This window comes from Homo sapiens, chromosome 7, assembly GCF_000001405.40.
Source record: "Homo sapiens chromosome 7, GRCh38.p14 Primary Assembly".
NCBI classification, from domain to species: Eukaryota; Metazoa; Chordata; class Mammalia; order Primates; family Hominidae; genus Homo; species Homo sapiens.
In genome coordinates this window covers 155,191,237-155,205,619 of record NC_000007.14, presented here as the reverse complement: position 1 = coordinate 155,205,619, position 14,383 = coordinate 155,191,237, and the positions used below count along the sequence as shown (strand labels likewise).

The window sequence follows — 14,383 nt, the reverse complement described above, 5'->3', positions numbered from 1 at the left end:
CACTTCCCTGCTGCGCGGCCTCCAGCCAGTGTCTCCACCTCCCTGCCCTTGGTCCGTAAATGGGGGGGTAATAGGACCCACTGCACGCGTTATAGGAGGGTCAAGTGGCTCCATATCTGCAAAGGGCTTAGGACAGCGCCTGGAAAGCACGCGGCGTCTGCCTTCCTCCGTCACTGGGAAGCTCGGGGGAGGGGCCACACGGACACAGGCTATTGGCTGAGGGAGCAGGGAGGGGCTGAGACACGATCTGGAGCCCGGGACTCACACATTGGGTCTGAAGAGCTATGGAGGCCACCACGGAGCATGCGTTTATGGGGGTTGAATGCAGCCACGATGCCACGTTAGAAATCACCAATGAGAAACACTAGAAATCGAAACTAAGAGCATTTAAAATACCTATTAATTCATTAAAACAATCATAAACCTGTCATACGTCAACGTAAATACCTTATGACGAACAGCTATATTTTCCAAAACAAAAAGCATTTAGGGGGAGGCATGGCATTGTCTTCGTGTCTGCAGAGCTCTCCAGTGTCTGACTTGGAAGAGCTGGGTTTTCCTGCCTGCTCCTGCATTCCACCTGCTTGCAGAGCATGGAGACAGTTCCGTGTGACACAGACATGCAGCTAGCAAAGTGGGTCCCTCAGGGGGTCTCGGGGATGTCAGGGTCCAGGGGCCTCCCTGAGGGCTTCTGATATGGTCTGGAAGGTGCTCCGCAGAGCCAGGGCAGTGGGCGTGCTGGGGAGCCAGGCTGGGGGGCTGGGCACCCCCTCCCTCATCCAGAGCAGCCCTATTCCTATCAGATACATGTCTTGGGCTCTGAGTCAAATGCTGTGTGTACAATAAAGTGGATACACCTGCTCTGGGGCCTGGGGCTACACTGGAAAGGTGAGGCTTTGGGATGGGATGGTGGAGGGGAACCGCTAGGGCCCTGGGAGATAAGGGCGAGAGGCCTCAGGTGTGCCCAGGTGGGAGAGCCAGGGCACCTGCAGTGCTGCTGGTCCAGTCCCAAAGCCAGCAGAGGCCCTGCTACCTCCACATGCTGGACTCCAGGAATTGCTCCTGGCAGCAGCAGGGAGCCCTGTGGAGCCAGGACACAGAGCCACATGGTGCGAGGGTGGCTGCTGCCAGGAGTGGAGAGGCGGCGTGCACATGGGTGACCTTGAGTGCACAGGTGCTGTGTGCCCACACAAGAGGTAGCTGGCCCACGGGGTGCTGCCCTCCCTCTGCCCCCCCAGCACACCTGGTCCACACACCTGCCCTGCTTCACCTGGTGCCACACCCTTGGGAGCACTGCTGAGGCCTAGAAGTCTTGGGCATGAGTGTGGCCTCCCGATAGGCAGGGCTCTGGCTCTCATCTGGGAGCACGGCAGAAGCTGTTGTCTGGGAGCACGGGTGTCCAAGCCCATGGAGAGCTGTCCCCCATGGAGAGCTGTCCCCCAGAGCCACCTCTTGCTGGAGGCAGAGCGCCTGCAGCAGGATGCGGGCCTCACATCTCAGGGCCTCGGCCTCCCTCGTGCTTACCCCTCCCACAGGCTCCTCTGCCCTTGCTGTCCTCACCTGGACCCTCCCCGAGATCCCCGAGTGCCCATCCCTTCACCAGGAGCCACTGGCCCAGTGTCTGTTTCCTGCCTCACTTTCCTTCCCAGGGTATCCCCTGCTGCCCTGCATGAGGCTTCTTTACCTGCTGTCTGTCCACCCCAAGGCAGGAGCTCCCTGAATGCTGGAGCACCAACAGCTCGGTCCCTGCAGAGTCCCAGCACCCAGTGAAGCCACTGTGAGGAGGACTTGGGCCTCAGGATGCACGTGCAGCCATGGAGACCCCACGGGGCGGCCCCTCGGATGATCCTGGCCTTCTGGGTGGTCCCCGAGGGTTTGTTTCTTTCTGGGACTTTCTAACAGGAGGTCCTGCTCCTTGCCGCCGACTCAGCCCTGCCTGTAGCTTCCACAGTGCGTCAGAAGTCACCGCTCACCTGATGCTGGGAATCCTCCTCCCAGGGCTCTGGAAAATTCCACCTCAGCCTGACAGACTCTCCCTCCCGCACCTGCACAGCCCCCGGGGCTCCGGAAAATTCCACCTCAGCCTGACAGAGCTCTCTCCAGGCTGGTGCGGGTGGGAATAGGCCTGAGAAAGCCTTTTCTGGGTCACAGGCAGTCCTGAGTACATGCTGACTGCAATGTACCCACCTGACCCACTGACCTCAACCCCTGACCCCGACCCCTGACTCTGGGGACATGGGACCCTCCCCTCAGGAGGTCTGGCCTCACCTCACTGGCTAGGGGCCCACAAAAGCAGGAGGAGCCACTGTTCACTCCACAAAGCCCTAGGCCAGGAAATGCACCCACAGGGCCAAGGGAGAGCAGGGAGGGGGAACTCCACCATGAGGACCCTTGGGAATCAACCACCAACTCCCTTGTGGGTGTGGTGGCTGCCACAGTCCAAGCACTGGAAAGCAGGAGAGGGAAGCCCGGCCCCTCATCTGAGTGAGGCAGCCAGGCCCCCGATTGGGGCTGAGCCAGCAGCAGGGTCACCCACCAGCAGCAGAACCCTGATCCAGACTCAGACTCCAAACCTCAAGGGCAACCCCCAGCCTTCCACCCTGTGTCTCCTCCCCACTCAGCTGGGCTGTCTGTCTTCCCTCCCTGTCCCTTCCCCTCCCCCTCTCTCCCAAATCCCCTCCTCTCTCTCCTGCTCCTCCCAGAAGCCTCTTCTCACCCGAGGGTCCTCCTTCAGGCTCACTCAGCCCCACAGCACTCACCCGAAGGCCATCCCTGGTTCAAGGCCAGCACTGAACACTGGGGCGTTCAAGGGCCCTGGGCCCTGGCGAGGGTGGTATGTGCCAGCACACCCTGAGCCGCCTGTGCAGAATCCCCCTAACCTCTGGCCACTGAGTCTACCTGGCGTCCTCTGGGGAAGGTGCGGCTGCGTTCCAGTGGGGGCTGAGAGAGGGGAAGCATCCCGGGGCCCTCTGCCATCAAGGGGCACATGCAGATTTCCTCAGCTGCACTGACTCCAACCTGAGCACCCACCCTCCCTCACCTGTACCATGAGGTCCCGGAGGGCAGGGGCTGAGGGTCATCCCTCTCCCTCCAGGATCTGTGCTCAGTGCTGCGTGCTCGGCCATGACTCCTCAGGCATGCTCACCTTGCCCAGCTCACCGGGCAGACAGGATCCTGGGCTGGGCTTCTTTGTGGCCCTTGTGCTTTGAGCCTAGAGCACAGACTGCAGGGGAAGCTGCCTGCTTACATAACACCCTGGATACCCTGATCTTTGCAGCCATCTGAGAGCCCCAGGCTCACACTCACCCGTCTTTTTGGCAGCCAGGAGATGTCACCACTGTATCTTCTGCAGAGCTGGAGTCAGCAGCAGTAGGAGCTTAGAGCTTTAGACCAGCGAGCCACAGCCGGTCCTCCTCAAGGGCCTCTCACCTTGCCTGGTGTGCTAGGGGTCCCCAGAGAAATAAAACCAAAAGGATATATAGGATATATGCATAGAGAGATTGATGATGAGGAATTTTTCATGCTGCTATGGAGGTGGAGGCTGACAAGTCCAAAAATCAGCAGTTGGCAAGCTGGAGGCCTGGGCGAACCACTAGCGTAAGTTCCAGTCTGAGTGCAGAAGACTGCCAGCCCGGCTTGAAAACGGGCAGAGAGGGCCTTCTCCCTGACCAGTGCTTTTTGTTCTTTTCAGGCCCCCAGCTGCTTGGAAGAGGCCCAGCCATACAGGGAGGACCACCTGCTTTGCTCAATCCACCGATTCAAATGCTAATCTCATCCAGACACACCCAGAATAATGTTTAACCAAATATCTGGGCATCCTGTGGCCCAGTCGAGTTGACACGTTAGAATGAACCAACACACTGGTGAAGGCTGCCTGGGCTCCTCCCACTCCCAGGCACCAGGCCTCGTGTGCTCGGTTTTACTGACTCCATTTCACTGATTTTACCATCTCAAGGACAGTCCTCTGTGGAAGTTCTGTCACTGTGGGTTCTCCATGAAATTGCCAGCATTTGGCCTGAGTGACCTCCCAGCTCTGCTAGCTGATGCTGGTCCCGGGGTGCCTCTGAGCAAGGCAGGCGTGGTGGGGCTGCCCCTCTGCAGCTGTCCGCCAGGGTGTCGGGTCCGAGAGGCCTCGGGCTGTAGGCTTGGAGACGTTGCAGGGAACTTACTGCTCCCTCCGCTGAGCCTCAACCATAGGAGCCAGGATTCTTTGATGGGACCCCATCTTCATGGTCCCAGTTTTAAGGCTGTCTGATTGTTTTTATGACTTTACTTTCCCCAGAAATTTGCTTCCAAGCAGTACCAGCTGAAATCAGCACTTTTTAAAAAGTCAATCAGAATAAAAAACAGTGTTTTATTTTTCAGGTTTTGCCACTTGCAAACCTGAGGCCGCCCGCCTGCTCTGTCCTTCTGAATATGCAACAGCGGAGCCATGAGATGTCAGCAGCGAAGTGGTCTCCGAAACAACCTAGAGATCCAGGAGTTAAGAAGGAATTACTTAGGCAGATAGCAAGGGTATGGGAGTCCTCCATAAGGCTTTCCTTTTTAACGAAAAGCAGCCCCAAATCATTTTCTAACAAAGAGCAGCCTGCAAGCTGGGAGCTTGCACGGGTGAATGCTGGCAGGAACTAAAGACTAGACATTTTCATTTATCTATCTATCTATTTATTTATTTATTCATTTATTTAGAGATGGAGTCTTGCTCTGTTGCCCAGGCTGGAGTTCAGTGGTGCGATCTTGGCTTACTGCAACCTCCACCTCCGGGGTTCAAGCAATTCTCCTGCCTCAGCCTCCCGAGTAGCTGGGATTGCAGGCATCTGCCACCATGCCCTGCTAAATTTTATATTTTTAGTAGAGATGGGGTTTCACCATGTTGGCCAGGCTGGTCTTGAAGTCCTGACCTCAGGTGATCTGCCCACCTCGGCCTCCCAAAGTGCTGGGATTACAGGTGTGAGCCACCGAGCCCAGTCAGAGCTAGACATTTTCAAGATGGCAGCTCCACCTTTACTTCTCTGCCAGCCACGTGTTCTGTAAGGAGCAGACAAGATGGCCCCTATCAACTGGAAAACCCATTTGCATAATAAGAGCAGCCTTCCCCACGCACTGTGTAAACCTCATACCTGATCGAACCAATCTGTGAGCCCTACGTAAATCAGACACTGCCTCCTCAAACTGGACTATAAAACACAGTGCATTCACCACCAGTGCGTCCTTTCTGCTTGGAGACCCCTTCCTCTACAGAGGAAGCTGTTTCTCTTTCTCTTTTCCCCCTATTAAACCTCCACTCCTATACTCCTCTTTAGTGTCCCTGTCCTAAATTTTCCTGGCAGGCGACAACAAGCCCCAGGGGATCTACCCCAGACGACGTAGCTGCTTCACTGGGATACTGAGGCCCAGAGAGGAAATGAGAGTCTCAGGACTCATTCCATACCAGCGGGTCCATCGGCCATTCCCTCTGACCTGCCCAACACAAGCTCTTCTCCAGCTATTTGAAGAAGGGAAGGAAGTGAGAAATACACTTTAAGCAGATATCAATGTCAGTTGAGATAAACATCAAGCTTTATTGACTTAAGAGGTAAATATTGATAGAACTGAAATGCCAAATCAATATTTACCTCCAGGGATGCTATAGCCTGAATTTGAAGTTGGGCTATGTGCACATCAACGCATCTCCAAGTCCCAACGTCTTCATAAGCAGTATGTGATCATTTCAGTGATGGGCTAAAGTTGAAAGGTGTGGTGAGAGATTTCCAGAGGGTCCTCACACGGAGGTCTAGGGAGAAGTTCATGATCACCATGAGGGGTCATCAGCACAGACCCGGAAGGTCAACGTCTGAAAACTACATCACTGGCACAGAATGGCGGGGACCCAATTTGCTTCACTTTTTGCTGAGCACTCACCTGACAAAGCATAAGATTCCAGCCGGAAAGGCACTGAGCACCTGTTTGCCAGGCCTTGTCAGCACCTTGCCGTGCAGAGCCTGCACCAGCCCTGAGATCAGGGAGCAAAGAACCCATGCCTCTGGCTCGCCTGGCTTCTCAGCCATGGGAAAGGCAGCCTTCACTGGGACAATGGCAGTGTTGTTGGTCATTGGCTTAGAAAGAGGAGTTTTAGAAGATGTCAAGGCCAAGAAAAGATTATGAGAGAAAAGGAACCAAAAGTTAAAATTGGGCAATTCTATCCACTAACTTCCCCTGCTGTGAATTGGGAAAAGTTGGCACTGCGCTGTCTTTAAGGGGTGGGCCCGTACCCAGCCTCCAGCATCCTGGAGTGTGTCTGTGAACCTGCTTTGTTCTATCAACTATGCTTGATGGATAAAGACACTTAGGCTAAGGAAGCTGTCCTGCTCCCTCAGGTTTCCACACATCCTCGTTTTCTGCTTCTATGCCTAGTAAGTTTTCCACTAGAGCAGTAATTCCCAACCTGGCTATACATTAATCAACTTGAGATGCTTAAAAACAACACACACAGACGCCTCCACCACCCCCATCTATTGCATGTGAATGTCAGTGGGGAATTTCCTGGGTGATTCAGAGCACAGCCTTGGTTGAGATGAGATCTGACTCTCAGGCTCCCTTATCGTGGGATTGGTGGGGGAAGGGGCTGTTTTTCAATGCTCACGAGCTATATTTGCAAAGTGTTTTGTGGAAGGTCCTAAAACTCAAAGGGTCTTGAGCTAAAACCAGTCAGCAATAAGAGTTATCCGACACTTATGGAAGAGTTCCAGGGTGAGGACTTGGGTCAGCTGCAGGATGCTTGGATTGGAGGTCACTCGCAAAGAGGGGTCACCTGTGCCTTGTTCAATTCAGTGACCGCCGGGTTAAAGTGAGCATCCTGGTGGCTGTGGTGAACACTGGGGTGTGGGGCCCATATCCGCCTCGGGCTGAGGCCCTCATCGCCTCATCGCAAGAGAGCTGCTCTGCCCAAGGTCATGTGCCCCTCAAGGAGAGGGTCCCATGTGGGGCAGCGCTGCAGACCAGCTGCACGCAGAACTCAGGCAATGGTGGCTAGTTTGATCCTGGTGGCCAGCACTGAGGATCATCGTCAACTGTGATGAGGATAACCACACCTCTCTTGGCTTCCATGTCCCGGTCTGTGACGTGTTGGGTGACTCCTGATGAACCTCCAGCTCTCTTCCTGCTCTGCTGTCACGAGGACTGATCAGACCAGTTTCCGGTGAGCATGGTGACAGGGTTGCTGTACGAAGTGGCCCTGAGGGGCTTGGCCACCATTTCTGAGGGTGGGTCAGGCCTCCGGCCCACAGCGATCCTCTGCCTTCCTGCGTAGTCATGCCTGTCACTCAAGGAAAAACGTCCGGATGACACGTGACACAGCACTGAGTGATTCGGGGTGAGCCCTGGGGAAGGAAAAAATGGGGAAGGTGGTTTGGGGATTTTCACTCTTCTCCCTACATCTGTCTTAGCCTAAGTTTTCTTATCTGTGAAAGAGTTCTGAGATTTTTCGTCGCCAGATGTCTTTATAAAGAGTAAATGAGATCACATACAGGCTGGCCTTGGAGATATTGTGGGTTGGGTTCTAGACCACCTCAATAAAGTGAATACGGCAATACAGTGAGTCACATAAAATTTTTGGTTTCCCAGTGCATATAAATTTATGTTTATACTATACTGTAGTCTATTAAGTATGCAATAACAAGATGTCACTCCAATGTCTCCAGACATTGTCAAATGTCCACAAAGGGTCTGTGTCCAGCAAGACCGTGGAAGTCAGACCTAGGACAGGAAGTAAGGAGTGCAGTGTTGTTAAATATCTATACCTGATATGGATATTTAAGTCTATCAACTACTGTATTTATATTCTCAACTCTAACATTTAATGTTTTCACTATTGTTGTTTCCCTGAAATTCTATAATTCACTTTGTATTTCCCTCTGACTCAAAAGTTGGTTAATAAGGAATCATACGATTTCTAGGTCAAGGCCTTTTTGGTTTTGTGACTTTCTTATCAATTTCTAGTTTCATTGCATTGTGATTAGAAAATGTTTTCTGCATTATCTCTCCTCTTTAGAACTAATTGAAGTTATTTGTGTGGTTTATTAGTTAATTTTGGAAGTGTCCCATGGTCACTTGGAAAGACAATATAGTCTATATTTTTAGGATTTAAAGTTTAGTAGATATCCCTCAGGTATACTAAATTGATCATGTCATTTTGGTCTTTTATATCATTACTTTCTTTTGTACATTTGCTCCAACCTGGGCTGAGAGAATTTGCATTTTCTATAAGTGACCACTGGTACCAGCCAAGGTGGAATACGTGCACTTCCGTCTACCGTCCCACTGGGAACGCTGAAAACTCTGGGAGGAACATAAAGAACAACTCCCTGAGCCCTCTAAAAAGTAAGTAACGACAAAAGGATGGGCAACTGATGTCAAAACTTGATAATGACCCCAAATGGGGGTGAGTTTTGCCTTGTTCCTCTTTCTTTGTCTCTTAGCTCTGACCTGAGGGTGGGTTGAATCTCAGAACTGTGCAGTGGGCCCAGAAGACAAAAATCTGGGATAAAACCTCTCTTTCCAGCCAAAGGACCAGGAAAAGGGACCCCTGCGTGCCAGGGAGTGTGGGAGAAATTTTCACTATTCTTTTTCTTTCCTCTCTTGACCCTGACCCAAGGCCAGCTCCAGCTGTGGAGCTGCACCACTATGCTGCTGGTCCTGGTGCTGGAAGCCCTGAAACTTTGATGAAAGACCCAACTCTCCAACCAGAGGAACTGGAAATGGAGTGGGGTGAATCCCTGTTTATTTCTTCCTCTTTACTGTTGCCACTTGGCTCCAAAGATGGCCCCAGTCATGTGGAACTATACAATAGCACAAAGAATTAAAAAGCTAAGAAAAACCTGATTTTCTGGACAGAAGAAAACTGGAAAAAGAGCTCCAGCTGTTTTAAAAATGGGGGGATAATCCCTGTTAATTTTTTTGTCTTTTCTTTTACCAATTTATTCCTAAGGTAGTCCTAGTCACGCAGAGCTGCATGGCAGTGCGGGAAGCTAAATCTTGGAGATAACACTATCTTTCTGTCCAGAAGAACCAGGAAAGGAGAGCCCTGAATGCCAAAAATTGTGGGAGATATCCTGGAAATTGTCAGTGAACTTGAAGATTAATCAATAGGAATTACACAGCCTGAAGATTGAGAGAAAAAAAAATGAAACAAAAACAGAGCCTCAAGCACCTGTGAGACAATATCAAAAAGTCTAATACTCTTATTATTGGAGTCTCAGAAGAAGAGGAGGAGGACACTGGTGCAGAAAAATATTGAAGAAATAATGGTTGTAAACTTCCCAGACTTGATGAAAAACGTATATATATATAGGTTCAAGAAGGTTAACAAACTCTAAACAAGATAAACTTAAAAAAAATGCATTGTAAATGAAAATCAAAGGTAAAGGAAAGACAATTAAAAGCAACCAGATAAAAACAGTATACTATGTATCAGAGAAGAGTACTTTGGATAACTGCAAATTTCTCATCAGAAAATAGGAAGCAGGAAGATGGTGGAACAACATCTATAAATTACTGAAAGAAAATAATTGTCAACCCAGAATTCTATATCCAGCAAAAATATCTTAGAAATGACAGTGAAATAAGGACATACTCAGATTAAGAGAAAGTAAGAGAATTTGTCACTAACAGACCTATAAAAGAAATGCTTAGCCAAGTTCTTCAGGAAAAAGGAAGATGATCTGGAGGAACACTTGGAACTTCAGGAATGGCATTAGAGCAACAGAAATGATAAATATCTGGTAAATATAATGAATTCTTTTTCTCTTTTTAAATTATTTAAAATGTATATGACTGTTGAAAGCAAATATTGTAACATTTTCTGGGTATAATTATTACTGAGATGTGGTACATATGACAATTATAACATAAGGAGAGGAGGATAAATGAACCAATAGAGTCATAAGCCTTCTATAATATACTTGAAATGGTAAGATATGAACTCTAAGTGGACTATAAAATGTTAAATATATGTATTGTAATCCCTAGAGAAACTACTAATAAACTGATACAAAAAGATATAGCCAGAAAGGACAATGGATTATTTAAAATGGAATAAAAAATATATTCAAATAACCCAAGGAAGGCAGGACCATGGGAAGAGGGTAACACAAAGCAAAAGAAATGAACAAAATCTCCTATAAGCCATGTGTTTTTGCCTATTTTCTTTGTCTTCTCTGTAATTTCTGCTTTTTGAAAGCCTCTTTTACAATACTTAGTCTGTTGATATTCATTACTGCTAATTTTTTTTATAAATTATGAGGCAAAATGATTCAAAGTACCTTGACTTTATTTCATTTAATGTTTTTTGTTTGGCTGAAAAACTACCTTGTTTCATACAAGGACTGAGACCCCTGCTTTTTCTGTTTTCAATTGCAAAGTGGGGACTGATCCTGGCATCTGTTTCACATCAGCCGGTGGATTAACATGTTCATAACAGGTAAAACCCCTATGCCAGGCTTCCTCAACCTCTGCCTCATTGACACTTTGGGCCTGGTGATTCTCTGTGGCAGGGGCTGCCCTGTGCCTTGTAGGATGTTTAGTAACATCCCCGGTCTCCGTTCATTCACTGATGCCAGCAGCACCCTCCACACCCCTCCCCAGCTGGGACAATCCAAACTGTCCCCAGACATGGCCAAGCTTGTCCAGGGGGATGAAGCCTCTCTGGATGAGAAGCACTGACCTGGACAGTGCGGCACAGGTTTGTGCTGTGTGCTTGTTCGCCATGGCCTGCATATCCCAGCTCTGTCCCGATGGCATGGAGCACGGCGGTGTACCCTCCACCCGGAGTTGTCAGGATGATTAGGACGCCCCATGCTCCCAAGGCTTTCCGCGAGGCTGTCATGACTACACAAACATCCTGCAAAGTTGCAGCTTTCAGCCCCTGCAGCACCCCGATCCATTGCCCCTCAGACCCTGCTCAGGGGCAATCCACCCCTAGTGAGGGCGGAGGAGGTGGGGGAGGCGCTGGATATGAAGCCACTGTGTAACACACAAAGCACTATTCAGAAATCAGTGTTACTATCTCTCCCTGGATGGCACAGAGTGGATTAAGGAGCAAAGACAAATTGCTGGGCTCTTGCGACTCTGACCTCTGGGTCATATTTGCTTCTCTGCGAACAATGCAGATTGTCCTCCTGCAAGCTGTTTACAGCTGAGAATAAGCAGACGGCGAAGCAGTTAGTCTCCTTCAACCTTGGCTGTTGCATCCTTAACCAATGGTAACACCTTCCTCACATAGTGCTGAGAAAGAAATCAGGCACTTATTAAATTGTAAAGCACTGAACAAAGTATAGGCTGGTATACTGATAATGATGCATAACTCTGTAGCTCTGGGGTTAATTCTCAAAAAGCACCTTCAAACTTTCTGATTAATAATAGCGCTATCCCACTAAGAACTTAGCCTCCTTACCAGATGCACACTGGAGAAAGTGTGTTCAAAGGATTCACTGTTGCTTGTTGGCTATACCATGCATTATATATCATGCTCCAACTGGTTTTAATACGACCTTATTTGCCTCTCCAAATTCTTTATAAGTAAAGGATGATGCAGTTAAAAGAAGGAGTAACAATGAACTGTGCATCAGACGTTGGGTGAACAAGCAGGCCCAGGCCCCACTAGAGGGTGATTCAACTCAAGAGAGTGGGAGGAGGATAGAAGGAAACAGGGAATGTGGCTTCCACACTGTCCCCTCCACAGCACAGTGTCTGCCCCCATGCCATGCTGGTTTTGCAATATCACCTTCATGAGTCTGTCTCTTTGTGTGATTTTGAAGCTGTTCTGCAGACACTATCATTGCAGCATCTTCTTTCATTTCCTTCTCCGGAAATTAATAACATTTGCTTCTTAAAAATAAACCTGAAAGAAAGCAATTTTATGTATGTGTTAAGTTACACTCTAGATTTAGAGCTTGTTCCACACATTCCTGTTCTGAAAGGGTCCTGGGCACTGAAAACTCTAGGCTGTAGGGTTGAGGATGTGGAGAAGGGACCCGCTGAGCTCTGAGGATGGTCTGCGGTTGGAAGCCGGGGGTCAGTGCTCAGAGGAGCAGCCCCACATACCCCATCTGGGTGGGTGCTTTGTAGTCTTCTCATGGGGAGAATGGGCTCCTTCCCCTCCGCTAGTGCCGGGCTGGCCCTGAAGCTTGCTCAGGGGTGGGAGGGATGAGGCTGGGTAACTTCCTCTTCAAATGCCTGGGGCTCTTGCTTCCCCATCCTGGGAACTGTCCTCTTGGAGGCTAGCACCTTTGTGAAGTCTGACCATTGGGACTGCCATGCTGGGAGGCAGCCCAAGTGCAGCGCAGAGAGTCGGGGTGTGTGTCCAGTTGCCCTGTGGTTCCAACCGTCTCAGCTTAGGCATGTGAGGGAAGGTATTCGCGTCCTGGGGTGGCTGTAACAAATCACCACAAACCAGGTGGCTGAGAATAACAGAAATGTCTCCTCTTGCTGCTCTGCAGTCCCGAGGTCTGGAATCAAGGTGCCAGCAGGTCCCACTCCCTCCAGAGGCCCTGGAGAGAATCTATCTTTGTCTCCTGGTGGCTGCTGAGATTCCTTGGTTTGTGGCTGCATCCCCCAGTCTCTGCCTCTGTCTTCAAGACCCTTGTCTGTCCTCTGTGGTGCTTCTGATTTCCCTCTGCCCATCTTATGGGGACACATGTGACTGTACCTAGGACTCCATTGGATAGCCCAGGATCAGCAACTCCTCTCGAGGTCCTTAACTTCATTGCGTTTTGCTGTACAACATAACAGACCCCAGTCCCACTGGCACCTCCTCCTCTGATTTCTGAGCTCCCACTGTCTGCACCAGTGGCTTGAAATGTTCTACGTATTTCCTGAAATGTATTTTGTATTATTTAATCTTCAGGTGTTGCTTTTGTGGACACCGCTAGATTGCTTGCTCCCTGAGGTCAGGGGCTGTGTCTCACGGGGCTAGTTCCTCAAAGACACGGGACACAGACTGACTCCAGCATCTGTCAAAGATTCCTCCACTTCTGACACCATTGAAGCAGAGACTCCCTTCCTTTCTCCTCTCACACAGCCTCTTTTCACCTGAAAGAGGTTTCTACTTCTCAGGTTTGGCAACAAGCTTAGGTTCCTCTCTTTGACGCTGTCTATGGAATCACAAATGCCACCTGCCTCCCCTCTCAGCCTTCATCTTTCTGGATGAAAGAGTCTTTCCAGTTTTCCTCCCTCCCCACGTGCATGCCCCGGCTTAGGGTAACCATTCCCTGTGATGCTGTGGACATCATTTCCCCAGGGGTTAACCTCAACCTCATCTCAAATTTCTCTCCTGATTCAGTTAACTACTTGAGTAAACCTTATAAACTTAACAGTTAAATATAAGACTCTCATACAAATCTGGAATGAACACATCAGAGATTTGCTTAGCCCAGACTGGGAAAGGGCAAAATTGTACAACTGGTTCAAAGAGTGGCTGACAGAGTTTTGTTTCATCAGCCAACACAGCCCCTGTAAAGGAAGTCTGCTAAGTTAGAGGCCAAAGTGATCAATATCCTACCGCAAACTAAAACCACGGCCTTGGGGGCCAGTAGTTTCAGTGATTTCATTCTCCACCAGACTGAAATCATTTGCATCTCTACTGACAAAATATCTACAAATTAACATGTAACTTCACAAAGTCTAGGCCCTAATCAATGGTAAATAGCAAGTCAAATGAAGGTCCAGTCCTCCCCAAAAATAATGAAGCCAGCCTGGGGTGGACTTGAATGATGGGTGGGTCTTGGCTGTATGGTGACTGCCAAGCACTGGGTGATTTTCTTTTTTTTCTTTTTCACTTTTTTTTTTTTCTGAGATGGAGTCTCGCTCTGTCACCCAGGCTGGAGTGCGGTGGCGTGATCTCTGCTCACTGCAACCTCTGTCTCCTGGGTTCAAGTGATTTTCCTGCCTCAGCCTCCTGAATAGCTGGGATTACAGGCATGCACCATCACGCAGGGCTAAGTTTGGTGTTTTTAGTACAGACGGGGTATCACCATGTTGTCCAGGCTGGTCTGGAACTTCAGACCTCAGGTGATCCACCTGCCTTAGCCTCCCAAAGTGCTGGGATTACAGACATGAGCCCCCGTGATCGGTCCGCGATTTTCTTATACATAGGATAGATGGGGTGAACTCAGTGGGTGCTGGATGGATTGACGGAGGACCCACCCTATGTATAGACGGCCGGGATGGATCCTCTGTGAAATGTAGTTTTAAAGACTGGCAGGTTTCCGACCCCTGACCCTGTGCCCTGGGCCTGGGCACCCACCCGTCCTCTGCACCTGCGCCTCTCAGCAGCCCTAACTGCAGAGCTCTGCTCCCGGACCCGGCCCCCGTGGCAAGTGGGAGGAAGGGAAGGCCCAGGGCCAGAAGC

At 49.8% G+C, this 14,383-nt stretch overlaps 1 long non-coding RNA gene across 1 annotated transcript, besides 4 other annotated features; it reads left to right on the top strand.

The window, feature by feature from the left end:
- Positions 15-84: an enhancer, noted in NCBI's record as "active region_26893". NCBI's record gives its function as "activates an Ori minimal core promoter by ATAC-STARR-seq in GM12878 lymphoblastoid cells {active_cell/tissue: GM12878}" and the evidence as "EXISTENCE:reporter gene assay evidence [ECO:0000049][PMID:35858748]".
- Positions 115-164: an enhancer, noted in NCBI's record as "active region_26892". NCBI's record gives its function as "activates an Ori minimal core promoter by ATAC-STARR-seq in GM12878 lymphoblastoid cells {active_cell/tissue: GM12878}" and the evidence as "EXISTENCE:reporter gene assay evidence [ECO:0000049][PMID:35858748]".
- Positions 175-354: an enhancer, noted in NCBI's record as "active region_26891". NCBI's record gives its function as "activates an Ori minimal core promoter by ATAC-STARR-seq in GM12878 lymphoblastoid cells {active_cell/tissue: GM12878}" and the evidence as "EXISTENCE:reporter gene assay evidence [ECO:0000049][PMID:35858748]".
- Positions 6,487-7,686: an enhancer, noted in NCBI's record as "BRD4-independent group 4 enhancer chr7:154989644-154990843 (GRCh37/hg19 assembly coordinates)". NCBI's record gives its function as "activates an origin of replication core promoter dependent on BRD2, P300/CBP, MED14 and CDK7 cofactors, and independent of BRD4, by STARR-seq in HCT116 cells {active_cell/tissue: HCT116}" and the evidence as "EXISTENCE:reporter gene assay evidence [ECO:0000049][PMID:35650434]".
- LOC124901782 (uncharacterized) lies at positions 7,165-10,035 on the top strand. The gene is made up of 2 exons (XR_007060602.1): positions 7,165-8,358; positions 8,633-10,035. It is a non-coding gene; the product is annotated as an uncharacterized LOC124901782 (long non-coding RNA).
- The last annotated feature ends 4,348 nt before the right edge of the window (positions 10,036-14,383 follow it).